Source organism: Homo sapiens, chromosome 4 (assembly GCF_000001405.40).
Source record: "Homo sapiens chromosome 4, GRCh38.p14 Primary Assembly".
Taxonomy (NCBI): domain Eukaryota; kingdom Metazoa; phylum Chordata; class Mammalia; order Primates; family Hominidae; genus Homo; species Homo sapiens.
In genome coordinates, this window is record NC_000004.12 from 156465186 (window position 1) to 156481073 (window position 15888).

Here is a 15888-nt window from a genome sequence, read left to right on the forward strand (position 1 = left end):
ACCAAGTTGTAATCTGTAAAATAAAAGCAGTAAATTAGTAATATTATCATTAGTACTAAAGAGAAAAAGGTTTTCATTAATCATTGAGTATGAACCCCTCAAAGTGGAAATGTAATTCCACACTCATATCTACCAACAGGTGACAGCAGAATAATCATTCTATAATAAAAGAACACTACCTACTGTTACAAGTTGTAAACTTAGCTAGGCACAGTGGCTCATGTCTATGATCCCAGTACTTTGGAAGGCCAAGGTAGGAGGATCCTTGGAGGCCAAGAGTTCAAGACCAGCTTGGACAACATAGTAAGACCCCATCTCTACAAAAAAAAAAAAAGAAAAAAAAGAACTGGGTGTGGTGGCACGCACCTGCAGTCCTTGTGTTTGTGAGATCCAGGCAGGAGGATTGCTTGAGCCCAGGAGTTTCTAGGTTACAGTGAGCAATGATCACACCACTGCACTCTAGCCTAGGTGACAGAGAATGACCCTGTCTCGAAAAACAAAACATAAAATTATAAATTTGGACTAGAAGTCCTAACCAAAGCAGTTAGGCCAGAAAAAGAAATAAAAGGCATTCAAATTGGAAAGAAAGAAGTAAAACTGATGTCTGCAAATGACATTTTCTTATATGTAGAAAGTTCTAAAGATTGCACACACACACACACACACACACACACACCAACACACAGCTGTTAGAACTAATAGACAAGTGTAGTAAAATTGCACAATGCAAAGTTAACATACAAAAACCACTTGTATTTCTACACACTAACAAAGGATAATGCAAAGGGCATTCATGTTAAAAATTCTCAGTAAACTGGGTATTGAAGGAACATATCTTAAAATAACAGTCATATATGACAAACCCATTGCCAACAACATACTGAATGGGCAAAATATGGGAGCATTCCCCTTGAAAACCAGCACAAGACAAAGATGCCCTCTCTCACCATTCCTATTCAATATAGTATTAGAAGTTCTGGCCGGGGCAGTCCCCCATTGTCGTAACTCATTTCAGCATTAAGTCAAAAGTCCACAGTCCGAAGTCTCATCCGAGACAAGGCAAGTCCCTTCCACCTATCAGCCTGTAAAATCAAAAGCAAGCTAGTTACTTCTTAGTTACAACGGGAATACAGCATTGGCTAAATATGCCCATTCCAAATGGGAGAAATTGGCCAAAACAAATGGGCTACAGGCCCCTTGCAAGTCCAAAATCCAACAGGGCAGTCAAATCTTAAGGCTCCAAAATGATCTCCTTTGACTCCAGGTCTCACATCCAGGTCAAGCTGATGCAAGAAGTAGGTTCCCATGGTCATGGGCAGCTCTGCCCCTATGGCTTTTCAGGGTACAGCCTTCCTCCCTGCTGCTTTCACGGGCTGGCATTGAGTGTCTGCAGCTTTTCCAGGCACACAGTGTAAGCTGTCAGTGGATCTACCATTCTGGGGTCTGAAGGATGGTGGCCTTCTTCTCACAGCTCCCCTAGGCAGTGCCCCAGTAGAAACTCTTTATGGGGGCTCCAACTCCACATTTCCCCTCTGAACTGCCCTAGTAGAGGTTCTCTATGATGGTTCTGCCCCTGCAGCAGACTTCTGCCTGGACATGCAGGCATTTCCATATATCCTCTGAAATCTGGGTAGAGGTTCCCAAACCTCAGTTATTGTTTTCTGTGCAACTGCAGGCCCGAAACCACATGAAAGCCACCAAGGCTTGGGGCTAGCACCCTGTGAAGCCATGGCCCAAGCTGTACCTTGGCCTCTTTTAGCCATGACTGGAGCTGGAGCAGCTGGGACTCAGGGCACTGTGTCCAGAGGCTGGAGAGAAAATTTGTGCACTCGGCCTGGCCCACAAAACCATTTTTCCCTTCTCGGCCTCTGGACCTGTTATAGGAGGGTCTTCCATACAGGTCTCTGAAATGCCTTGGAAACATTTTCCCCATTGTCTTGGCTATTAACATTGGGCTCCTCTTTATTTATGCAAATTTCTGCAGCAGTCTTGAATTTGTCCCTAGAAAATAGGTTTTTCTTTTCTACCACATGGCTGGGCTACATATTTTTTTAATTTTTTTTTATTATACTTTAAGTTCTAGGGTACATGTGCACAATGTGCAGGTTTGTTACATATGTATACATGTGCCATGGTGGTTTGCTTTACCCAACAACTCGTCATTTACATTAGGTATATCTCCTAATGCTATGCCTCCCCCCTCCCCCACCCGAGGGCAGGCCCCGGTGTGTGATGTTCCCCACCCTGTGTCCAAGTGTTCTCATTGTTCAATTCCCACCTATGAGTGAGAACATGCGGTGTTTGGTTTTCTGTCCTTGTGATAGTTTGCTGAGAATGATGGTTTCCAGCTTCATCCATGTCCCTAGAAAGGACATGAACTCATCCTTTTTTATGGCTGCATAGTATTCCATGGTATATATGTGCCACATTTTCTTAATCCTGTCTATCATTGATGGACTTTTGGGTTGGTTCCAAGTCTTTGCTATTGTGAATAGTGCTGCAATAAACATACTTATGCATGTGTCTTTATAGTAGCATGATAAAGGGGATATCACCACTGATCCCACAGAAATATAAACTACCATCAGAGAATACTATAAACACCTCTATGAAAATAAACTAGAAAATCTAGAAGAAATGGATAAATTCCTTGACACATACATCCTCCCAAGACTAAACCAGGAAGAAGTTGAATCCCTGAATAGACCAATAACAGGCTCTGAAATTGAGGCAATAATTAATAGCCTACCAATCAAAAAAAGTCCAGGACCAGATGGATTCACAGCCAAATTCTATCAGAGGTACAAAGAGGAGCTGGTACCATTCCTTCTGAAACTATTCCAATCAACAGAAAAAGAGGGAATCCTCCCTAACTCATTTTATGAGGCCAGCATCATCCTGATACCAAAGCCTGGTAGAGACACAACAAAAAAAGAGAATTCCTAAAGACAGAAATGCCATTTGACCCAGCAATCCCATTACTGGGTATATACCCAAAGGAATGTAAATCATTCTATTATAAAGACACATGCACATATGTGTTCATTGCAGCACTACTTGCAGTAGCAAAAATATGCGATCAACCTAAATGCCCATCATTGATAGACTGGATAAAGAAACTGTGTACATATACATCATGGAATCTATGCAGACCCAAAAAAGAAAGATTATGCCCTTTCTAGGGACATGGATGGGGCTGGAGGCCGTTGTCCTTAGCAAACTAACACAGAAACAGAAAACCAAACACCACGCTTACAAGTAGGAGCTAAATGATGAGAATACATGGATACATAGATTGGAACAACACACTGGGGCCTATTGAAGGGTAGAGGGTGGAAGGAGGGATAGGATCAGGGAAAATAACTAATTGGTACCAGACTTAATATCTGGGTGATGAAATATGCTGTACAACAAACCTCTATGAAGCAAGTTTACCTATGTAACAAACCTGCACATGTACTCCTGAACTTAAAAGTAAAAAAAAAAAACAAAAACCCATTTATAATAGCACCAATAAGAATAAAAGACTTAGAAATAAACTTAACCAAGAAGGTGAAAGTTCATGGATTGAAAAACTTTATATTGCTTAAATAACCGTTCTACCCAAAGCAATCTACAAAGTGAATGCAATCTCTATCAAATTTTTAAGGCATTTTTTTTGCATAAATAGAAAAAAATCATCTTAAAGCTGATATGAAATCTCAAATGACCTCAAATAGGCAAAACAATCTTGAGAAAGATAAAGTTGAAAGCCTTAGGCTTCCTGATTTTAAAAAATATTACAAAGCTAGAGTAATTTAGACAGTGTGATAATAGCATAAAGGCAAACATGTAGCTTAATTGAGCAGAATAGAGAGCTCAGAAGTAAAACTTCATATGTATGGTCAGATGATGTTCAATAAGGGTGCCAAGTCTTCATAATTGAGACAGTGTCATCTCTTCAACAAATGGTGTTGGGAAAACTGAATATCCACATGCAAAAGAATAAAGTTAAACCCTTACCTTATATCGTATGCAATAATTAACTCAAAATAGACTAAAGAATTAAATGTAAGACCTGAAATGATAACAGTCTTAGAAGAAAACAAGGGAAAAGAAAGCTTCATGACACTGCATTTGGCAATGTTTTCTTAAATATAACACCAGAATCACAGGCAACAAAAGGAAAAATAATCAAGTGGTACTACGTCAAACTTAAGAACTGCTGTACAGAAAATGAAAAAATCAACAGAGTGAAAAATGAAACCTACAAATTGGGAAAAATTTTTCAAACTGCATATCTGATAAGCAGTTAATATACAGTGTATATAAAAAATTACAACTTTACAAATAACCGAATTAAAAATGGGCAACAGATTTGAATGGACATTACTCTAAAGATATACAAATGACCACCAGCATCATGAAAAGATACTCAACATTACTACCCATCAGGGAATTGGAAATTAAAACTACAATGAGATATCACCTCACACCCACTAGGGTAACTACTATTATCCAAAAAACAAAACAAAACAAATAACGAGAAATGGACAGGATGTGGAGAAATTAAAACCTTTGTGCCCTATTGATGGGAGGGTAAAGTGGTGCGACCTCCATGGAAAATAATATGAAGATTCCTCAAAAAGTTAAAATCTAATTACCATATGGTCAAGCCATCCTACTTAGGGGTATATATCTAAAATAAATGAAACAGGATCTCAAAGAGATATTTGCATGACCACGATCACTGCAGCATTATTCACAATAGCTAAGAGTAAGAAACAACCTATATGTCCATTGACAGATGAATGGATGAAGAAAATGTGGTATATACATACAGTGAAATATTGCCATATACCGTAACATTGATGAACTTTAAGGACATTATGCTAAGTGAAATAATCCAGTCACAAAGAGACTCATTGCATGATTCTACTTTATAAGTGGATGTAATATGGTGATATCTAAAGTAGGAAAAATCTTAGAAGCAGAAAGTTGAATGGTTGTTGCCAGAGGCAGAGAGGAAGTATAAAAGCAGAGTTGTTCAATGGGTATAGTGTTTCAGTCATGCAAGATGAAAAGTTCCAGAGAGCTATTGCACAAAATTGTTCATATGGTTAACACTACTGTATTGTACACTTAAAAATAGTTAAGATAGTAAATTGTATGTTTTTACCACCATAGAAAAAAGCTCTGAACTTGCCTTTTGGAATAAAAATGTGAAATTCTATATGAAATGCCTTTACTATAGTAAGAAACACAAAATAACTCCTCTGAATTATTTTACCTCTGCCTGCTTTTCAAGTATACAGTATTTCCTGAGATATTATTGAAGGTCAATGGGAAAGAATAATACAGAGAAAAATAAAGTTTGTCTTGCTTCAAAACTGTGGAGTGAAGATTAATTAGAAAAAAAATCAAAGGGTCATAGAAGAAATACATATGTTATGGAATATTTTTTCAGTTCTCTGGAGCCCAGCTAAAAATTTATTTCTTCTAGGACATGCCAGGAGAACAAAAAGAAAATAATTGAAATGGAAACAATCAAATAGATCCTATAGGGACTGAGATTTATATTTAATGATGTTAACTGTTGGTCTCTTTCTTATCTAAAAGCATTGTAGGGAGGTCAAAGGATTTTGCAGCTGATCAAGGAAAAAGAGATGACCACAAGATAGAACTAGCCCTCAAAGACCTTTATTTGGGTCAGACATTTACAGGTTTGCATGTGGGGAAAGTCCCTCATAGAATGAGAGGGTCCAGAGGTCCCCATTCAGAAGCAGAAGAAGGAAGGTCCTCCTGGGGCAGATGGGGCATGGGCAATGGGGATTCATGTGCAAATGATGTCACTCAGCAGCAAGATGGGGAATCTCTGGATCAGGGATCTCCAAAGGGCAGCAGCAGCCTGGGGTCATTCATAGCTCTGGGGTTAATCATCTTGTCTATGGCCAGCAGACAATGAGAGCAGTTTTGTGGGGTCCACAAAGCATTGGGCTCTAAATGGCTAAAATTCTATCTATCGGGCTACATTTAAAGCAACTGGATACATAAAAATTTGAATTTGGCACCCATGATGTTTTGAGCAAATGGGTTCCAGCTTGCTATGAAGAAGTAAACAATTTAGGGCAACATAAAAGGGGGGAATCCTTACTCCATTTATGTAACAAATATGTCACAAAGCCTACTTGCTTAACAATAGAGAACAGGAATAGGCATCTATTTAAGGAATTTGGCGTCTTAGGAAAATAATTATTTCTCGTGTGTGTGTGTGTGTGTGTGTGTGTGTGTGTGTGTGTTTTGTTTTTTGAGACGGGGTCTTACTCTGCTGCCCAGGATGGAGTGCAGTGATGAAATCACAGCTCACTGCAGCCTCAACTTCCCAGGCTCAAGCAATTCTCCCACCTCAGCCTCCCAAGTAGCTGAGACTACTGGCACACATGTCCCTACACCCAGCTAATTTTTTTTTTTTTTTTTTGTAGAGATGAGGACTCACTGTGTGCCCCCTAGGCTCTTCTTGAACTCCTAAGTTCAAGCATTCCTCCTGGCTCAACCTCCCAAAGTGCTGAGATTACAGGGGTGAGCCACCACACCAACCTCTCCCAAGTGTTTTTAAATGAAGCAATGTTATTTTCAAAGGAAGCAAATGTGTTATTTAGTTGTCTTTGGAAAACTCAAATATATTTTTTGTGACATAAAAAATGTTTCGTGCTTATGAAGATGTGTCTAGTTTATCTTCATGGTCTCTAAGTTTGTTTCATTTGCTTGATTGTACTGAAGTAAAATATTTCTTGTCATTTTGAGACTTTTGAAAAATGTTTAGAAGACAGATATGGAGACTGTGGAAATGGGTCAACTTACTATTAATTTTGAAAATTTGGTTTTAACTGGAAAAACTATTCTTCAATTACAACAGTCTTTAATGGTTCTTTAATAAGACTATTTGTAAATAAAATTACTTTGTCATGAAATCAAAACATTTCTAGTTTTTCATGTGTAATTTAATACATATGCAAATACATTCTTAAAGACCAACTCAATAAACTTTAAAATCTTTTTTTAATGTAATGGGATAATTTTCATTAAGTAATGTATAACATTTATCACTTATTTTATTTTTTCTGTTTTCTGAATGCAGCCCAAGTTGATTAATTTCAAACTATAAAAACGTATTTGTTTGTGAATACTTAAGACATTTATCATATGATGCCATTTAAGAACCATATTAAAATATCATAATGTCTTTTTAGTAATAATGATATCATAATATCTGGGCTATGCATCAGAATGCAGAGGAAGCCATTAGGTTATATCCTGTAACCAATAATATTATGGTTTCAAAAATACGGGAAAAGGAACCCTATTGCCTTTACATAAGCACAGACATAGATTGGAAACAAATAAGAGGAAGAATTTCAAGTTTAAATTTAAGAGAATCTCATATGTAGATAAACTAGACTGGATGATCCTATCTGATGATATTCCTTGGGTCCTTCTAGATTCATGTTTTGCACATCCTGTCATTTCTAATAAGTATTTAGAGCACTGAATCACAGAGACAGCTGAAATTAGAGAATGCTGAAACCTTAAGCAAAAGTGGTTAACCCCAATCAAGTCTCAGTAATTAATATCAGTAGTTGGCAGCTGAGCCTGGATGTCATCATATATTATAGATGATGAGGCTACCGTGAATTAAACCTTGTGGCTGATGAGAACACTTTCCCCTTGGTTAGAAAACATATTTCATACCTTATTTTACAACCAGGTGTGTAGTTTTCACCACTACAGCAATTGGGCCACAGTATAGATTCATAAAATAAGTGTAAATGTGGATTTGAGTAGTTGGCAATTTAAACTCTAGCCATTCCAAAGTGAAATTCCAGGCCTAATTGAGCTCCAGTGGTTGTCAGCAGCTTATATGATCAAGTTTTTACAAACTCTCTTCTGGCTAATTGTGCTATCTTTGGTCTGTCTCCTCACAGGGATTCTGTGTGTGCATACTCCCAGTCTCACAGCTCTGTTCATGTCTTGGCAGCCTTCAGCTTCAAACTGAAGACTGTGGGAGGTTATGTATTCTGATACTAGGCTTCTTATTTGGGAAACCTTTATAAATTAATTGTGAAACTACTTTGGATGTTACGTTATTGGTATGAACTTAAGCAACACTGAGGACCTTAAGGTACATATTGAAACCCTGAGTTCTGTGAATCACCGAATATGACTGATTTTCATAGTTTCAGTACGGACCACCTTACTACATTTTTTATTTCATTTTTGTAAACTAAGACAGGACAGCAAAATATGAGCACAAATTGGGTTAGCCACATAACTTACATTTCCTGTTATCTTCTTTGACTCTTTCTTTACAATGACTTTTTTGCTGTGTTGTTGGTAGTTTTATCATTTTTTCCAAAAGCTTTATCTGTACTCTGGACAAGGTATATCAGTTGTAAAAATTAAACATTTATTCAACTATGAAGCCAGTCAGTCTATGGACGCCCTTTAGGCAGGCACTTCGTTTGCATTTAAAGTGTAATTAGAGAGAAATATGTTGAATTTTAAAGCAAGTATATGAAAAGCTTTTCAAGGTTTTTCAAATCTGGATAATATAATCCAGGAATTGCATTTAAAATATTTGTTTTATAGGAGAAAGGATGAAATTCTAGCTTTGACTGCACAAGGAACTCAGGATAATTAGGGAGAGAGAGCTTGCTCACAGTTATCAGAGGCATACAACTCCCTCACTGGTCTGATCTCTGCTGCTCCCAGCTCAGACTCATATCCCTCCTTACCCTCCAAGCTACTCCAAATAAGTAGCAGATCAGGGACAGCAAAGCATAAGTTATATAGACATGCTTCTACAAGAGGCTGCTTCCCCCTGACCCAAACACTCAGGGCCCACAAGAAAATGTGGGGTTTTTAAGATCAAATTAGAAGGAAGCCATTATCCTCAGCAAACTAATGCAGGAACAGAAAAACAAGGACCTCATGTTCTCACTTATAAGTGGCAGCTGAACAATGAGAACACATGGAGACATGGTGGGGAACAACACACACTGGGGCCTGAGATGGGGAGGTAGAGGGAGGGAGAGCATCAGGGAGAAGAGCTAATGGATGTTGGGCTTAATACCTAGGTGATGGGTTGACCTGTGTAGCAAACCACCATGGCATCTGTTTACCTATGTAACAAACCTGCACATCCTGCACATGTACCTGGGAACTTAAAATAAAAATGGAAGAAAAATGAAAAATAATAAAGTAAAAGGAATGCAGTGATAGGAATATCATGAGGCATTAAATGCAGGGATAATAAAGAATGATTTTTTAAATAAGAAATTTTCTTCTTTCTAGTTTAATGTATTAAAATGTGTTTATATAATTGTATATTTTATTGTTATATTACTGTGTTTTTCTGCATCACGTTTATAACATGGCTAAACTACATTATATCCATTTGTAATAAAAAATCTTACTCTGCTTTGTTATAGTATTAACTTATAAGTATACATTCAAGCTATAAGTAAATTACTCAGAATCAAAAGCAATTTGAGCTGGGCGCGGTGGCTCACACCTATAATTCCAGTACTTTGGGAGGCTGAGGCAGGCGGATCATGAGGTCAGGAGATTGAGACCATCCTGGCTAACACGGTGAAACTCCGTCTGTACTAAAAATACAAAAAATTAGACAGGTGTGGTGACACGCGCCTGTAGTCCCAGCTACTCAGGAGGCTGAGGCAGGAGAATCCCTTGAACCCTGGAGGCAGAGGTTGCAGTGACCCGAGATTGCACCACTGCGCCCCAGCCTGGGCGACAGAGCGAGACTCTGTCTCAAAAAGAAAAAGAAAGAAAACGAAAATTCTTTTAACCCTCATTTACCTTGCATTTCTATAATTGTAAAACATAGAAATATTAACATAGCTATTAGAGATTATTCAGTGTTGCCTTGAGGCTCCAGTTAAAACAACAGAAATGAATACACTCCTCAAGTTTTAAACACAATGAAATGTTATGAACTATTTTTAAGAGAAAAATCCCTACCTACTTGTGTAACAAATTATTGCTATGTGTTAATGATATATGTTGACATAGCTCATATATAGCACATACATTGAGCAATAAATATTGAAATGTTTTCTTTATTCATGCTAGCCCTTTTCAATCCATTTTAAACATTTAAGGGGCTTTGTCATAAAATAATTTTTTATTAAAGTGAATTGTATATAAATCCCATTTTGCAATGACTATTTTTTTAAAAGACAAAGAAGAGAATGATAAATGAGCTTTCTGCTATTGATCTATTCAGCCACAGGGTGTCATTCTTGGAGTACAGATTAGCCTGTCTAGAAGCAATACTCTGGCAGCAGATACCAAACACCATATCATATTCAGTATGTTGAATACATAATGAAAGCTCCTGACTTTTAGCCTAATTTAATACTTCTTTATACTCAGCAAACTACATCATTAGACATTTTCCAGATCTGTTTTGTAATTTTTAAATTATCTTTAGAATAAAAGCATGAAGACAACAAACAAAATTTCTAGTGGACTCAACCTCAGTGAATTGAATTAGATTGCTAGTCTTGGGAAGATAGTGAGAGAAAATATACAATCGGTACTGCTCTCTTATATTCAGAGAGAGTTATAAGGAAAAACAACGAAGTTGACAGATAGCCATACTTATAAAAAGCATTTTCCCTTTAAAAGTTATTTCCATTTATTTCATCAAACTAATAGATTATATCGCACCAGTACATGGCTCAAGAAAACTCCAAACATGCTTGGTATAGCTATTTTATGCTGAATTTGCAAAGCGTTCTAGGCCGAAAGTTAACATAGACTATGGAACTATAGTCTCACCCAAATCAGTTTAAACTTGGCACCAAGTATCCCACTTTGTCTTCTCCCACATTGGGTACAACTCATCTGAAAAAGGGTAACTTTAACCATGGTGCATAAGTCATGAAAATGGCTTGGAAAGACCTCATTAAAATGGGGCCAGATAAAGGTTAAGAAAAAGGTGATATTAACCTGACACTTTGCTTCTCTCTTCTTTAATCACTGGTAATGTGGGGACACTTAAACCTCTATCATAAACTTAGATGGAAATTCCCTCATGCCTACTTACATTGCTCCCAGCCCATCATCATGTGTAGAAAACAGATCAATGTTTTACTCCTTCATTCAGAGAGCTTTTTTCAAATATGATCCCATAATAGAGAGAAAACCAGACATGATTCACGTACTCATGCAGCTTAGTCTCTAGTGAGTGAGAGAGACATGAATCAACCACGCAAGTAAGACATAACATTCCAATGTGGTTAGTGCTAAGAAAGAGAAACACACCACAGTGCTACAAATGCTTATTTAATTGGGAATTTTACCCATGACTAGAGAAGAATTTCCTGAGTTAGCCAGGGCAGAGCTAGGGTATGGTCAATGAGTAATACTAACCAATCAAATAGAGAACAGAGAGAGATCAAGTCTGGAGCCTGTCAGGAAGACAGTATCATGAGCTCCAGTAACTGAAGAGGTTCAGGTCTCATCAAACAGATGGTGAAGACAATGTGGTGGAAAAGGCTGAAATGGTAGTCAATAAGTCATGTCAAGGATTTCGGTCTTTGCTTTTTGGTCTTTATCCTAAGAGCAAGAGGAAGCCGATGAATGTTTCCAAGCAAGAGAAGGATGAGGGAGGGAAAAGTGTTGAATATTCTAAGGTGCAGATTTGCACTTTGAGAAAGATTATTCTGTTTAGGATGCAAAAGGAATTTTTAGTGGACAAAGGTGGTTCTTGGAAAACCAGTTACAAGCTAGAAGTTGGCGGCTTGTATTAAAGAAACAAAAGTTAAAAATCGAAATAAGATGGACTTGAGACATATAGAAAGGAATTCCTTACCTATCTAGGGATTCTGTGTGGGGATGAATCTTTGATTTCGTCTCATTAATGGCTGGTGAGACTCCATTGTACAAAAAAAAGTTGATTTAAGGGACTACACCTGACTGGGTGCAGTGGGTCACACCTGTAATCCCAACACTTTGAGAGGCCAAGGTGGGAAGATCGCTTGGGCCAGGAGTTCGAGACCAGCCGGGGCAACAAAATGAGAACTTGTCTCTTCCAGAAAATTTTAAAACTTTGTGAGGCATGATGGCTCACACCTGTAGTCCAAGCTGCTCTGGTGCCTAAGTCGTTCAACATCACCCCAAGAAAGGTAAAAGGAGGTTTCCTGACTTATGGTCACATATTTCAACTACTCATTCATATGTTTAGCTATATATCACCACATACTCCTCTAAAAATTATTATAACAATTTAGATTTTTACCAAAAAATGGAGACCCAATTGTCCCATGTTCTTGATACCTCTGAGCAATGTCAATCTTTTTTATCTTGACTTATAAAACTTGGTTTAAAAAAACTTACTCTCTTGTCATTTCCTCAATTAGGAAGCAGTTGAACACATTTTCACAAGTTTGTTAGCTATCTTTATATCTTTTACATGAATTGACTATTTTCATTTGCCCAATGCTAGCACAGTGTTTGACTTTTTCTGAAAGATTTATAAAAGCTATAGTTTTTATGTTTCGTTGCAAATTATCTTCCTGTTTGTTTAATAAAAGCAAGCTAAGGACCTCTGCTTACCCTCAAACTGTACTATCTGTCACAGCTTCTGCTTCCTCACGATTTTAAATTTCCTTATAACTTCAGCTGGTTCATGGCCACTTAGTCCTATTGTCATCTCTATAGGGTTTTTGTATTTAGAAGATAAAATTACAAGACAGCCAATTAAATTTGAACTTCAGATAAAACAACACATATTTTTAACTGTAAGTATGTCTCATGAAATATTTGGGACATAACTATGAACTTGCATGTTGTTTATTTAAAATTGAAATTTAATTAGCTGTTCTGAATTTTTGTGACAACCTTCTCTCTGTTTCAAGCTACCTAATTCACTCCATATTTGTCCACCCAAATTCCAACAAATAAGAATAATATTATTCTATTCTATCCCAATTTGGACAAATAATTTTTAAGTTAATTTATAAGCTGCAAGCCTTCTAATGGATTAATTGCCTTTAAGTGAGTTGCCCAGGATAACATTGAAACTAAGGGGGAGCTCCCATCAGCAGAATCAGGATTTTATCAGAGAAGAGTGGAAAAGTTATGGACCCCATGACTATTACGTAAAAAATATATCACTTTTCCACTTAGAGATTTTTTAAAATAAATATGCAATAATAGTTTTAAATTATAATCATATTTATTTTGTTTTTTTGAGTTTTAAAGTATAATATTATTTGATAAAGGCCCTACATCTTCATGTATCTAGATTTTTCAGGAAAATCAAGAATCGATGTGGTAAACTGAATAACAACCCATGAAAAATGTCTATCTCCTAATCCTGGAATCTGCAAGTGTGTTGCCTTATGTGTCAAAAGGTACTTTGCAAATGTGATCAAAGCATCTTGAAAGGGGGAGATCATTCTGAATAATAATTATCCTGGGCCCAGTGTATTCACAGGAGTACTTATGAGAGGGAGGCAGTATAGTTAGATAGTGGGATGATGGGTGCAGAGTTAGAGAGAGAGAAATTGGAAGATGCTACACTGCTGGCTTTGAAGATGGTGGATGGGGCCAGGAGCTAACGAATGAGGCGGCTTCCAGAAGCTGGAAAAGGAGAGAAAATGATTTTCCCCTAGATTCTCCAGAAAGAATGCAGCTCTGCCAACACCTGAACTTTAGCCCATGAGAGCCACTTTTTAGTTTCTGTCCTCCAGAACACTAAGATAATAAACAAATGTGTGTTGTTTTAAGTCACTAATCTGTAGTCATTTGTTGCAGCAGCAATAAGAGCCTAATACAAAGACAATACTCAGAATAGTTCCAGGTTTTCTTGAATAGCAATATATTTTATTCAATATAAACAAAAGCAGAATAGGAAAAAAATTTCATATTATTCATTTCATTGCTTATTTTAACTACTATATTTTGACCTATTTAAAAGAAATGAATATATCAAAATAAGACTTGCTACCAAAGAAGAAAGTGCTCTCCCATTATATATCAACTGAAATTAGCAAACCAATAAATTTTGTTTGAAGATGTGCTTTTTTCACCTTTGGCTTTCATTATTAAGTATTTTCCAAGAGTAAAGATTTTTGCTGTATAATTAAATTGGAATTATATTGCTAGAATATATTCCATAAATGTAAATTTAAAAATCTCACATTCTAAAGGCTGATGCATGTAGCCTAAGTCTAGTTAACTTGAACATACATAGGCAAGTCAAGGGGGGAAATATTAAAATATTATAATTTGAAAAATATGTGTTTTGTTTCTAACACATAATGATATACTCACACTTGAATATTCTATTTAAAGAACTTGTTGAATCTTTTCTTCTTTTATGCATTCATTTACAGTAACATGCTTTAAAAACAGTCTCAGAGAAAAAAATTACATGCAACTTAACTATACTGTTGTGTTCCTAATAAAAGAGAAAAATGACATGTTACAAAGCCATAATTACAGGGAGTTTCAGAAGATATATTTGAAAAGGTCTAGTAGATTAGTACTTAAAATGGTCCAACTTCTGTTGAGTTTGCCTTTAATGTTAGGTTGGATATATTTTCAAAAGCAACACATTAGGTTACCAAGCTTACTGTATTTGATCCAAACAATGCCATGTTTATAACATTATTTACTTTGAAGCTCTGAAATTAAAAAAAAAACTATCTTCTTAACAGTGACCTTTTTCGTTTAAGATTTATTTTGCAAGATTTTAAAAATAAATAAATATATATTTATTTATATATAGTAAGAATTTTTTCATTCAATAATATGTTACTATGGTTAAAAATGGAAAATATTCCAAGATATTTATTTGGTTAGTAAGTTAGTTAATTTTTTTGCTAACATTAATTGATCTCCTATTTAATAGGCATTATGTTACACATATTGTGTGATTCATGTGATGACCCTGTGGGATACACATTCATTATACACATAAGTAAAGTGAGGATGACAGAATTTTACTTGCTTTAAGTCCTGCGATTTTAGCAGTTATATATTTGTATATCAGCTCTCAATAATGTTCTGAATTATACTTTGTGAGGGAGGGGTTTAACCAAGGTCCTTAAGTTGATTTTGTAATTGTAATATATAGTACTTAACCTATTAAATCTTTTGATTGAGTAGGATATTATCTACTTTGCAATAGCAAGGTGTCTGTATCAGCCAGGAGATGCTAGGTTATGCTGTGTAAGATACAGCCCCAAAAATCTCAGTGGGGTTGTTTATTGCTTTATACAATCTACTTTAGATCTATTTTAGAGCTGTACATTTCTCCAGGGCAACTATCCTCAATTTGTTCAGTGTTCCAGTATGCTCTACATATAATTGTGTTTTCTATACCATTAACATAGACAAACACACACACACACACACCCACAAAGGAAAGTAAATGAAAAGCAAAAGGGATGAGAGATTAACACAAAAAGAGATTTTAAAATAGTTTCTTTTACAGCTGAAAAGTGAAGGTCAAGAACCAATAAAAAAAATCTGTAAAGCAAAAAAATATACTGCCCACAAATAAAAAGAGACCTTTTGCATAAATCTCAAAATAGCACTTAATGTAAACAAGGTTTTTGAGATAAACAAGCAATAAAAATGGTGTTTTTAAAAAGGAGCCCATTATCCTAAGAAATTGTTACTAATAAAAAATATAAAGAAGCACGAAATGATTTTGTGTGGGTTCTTGAATAACAGTGTTGAAAAACTTCTGAAATATATTAGAATCTGCTCAGGCTAGAAAACCACTTCAGACAGGATAAGCAGGCCTTCAACAGCATGTTCTATGAAGTTGCTTTTGGCTAAGAAACATAGGCTCCATAGACTGTTTCTGCATAA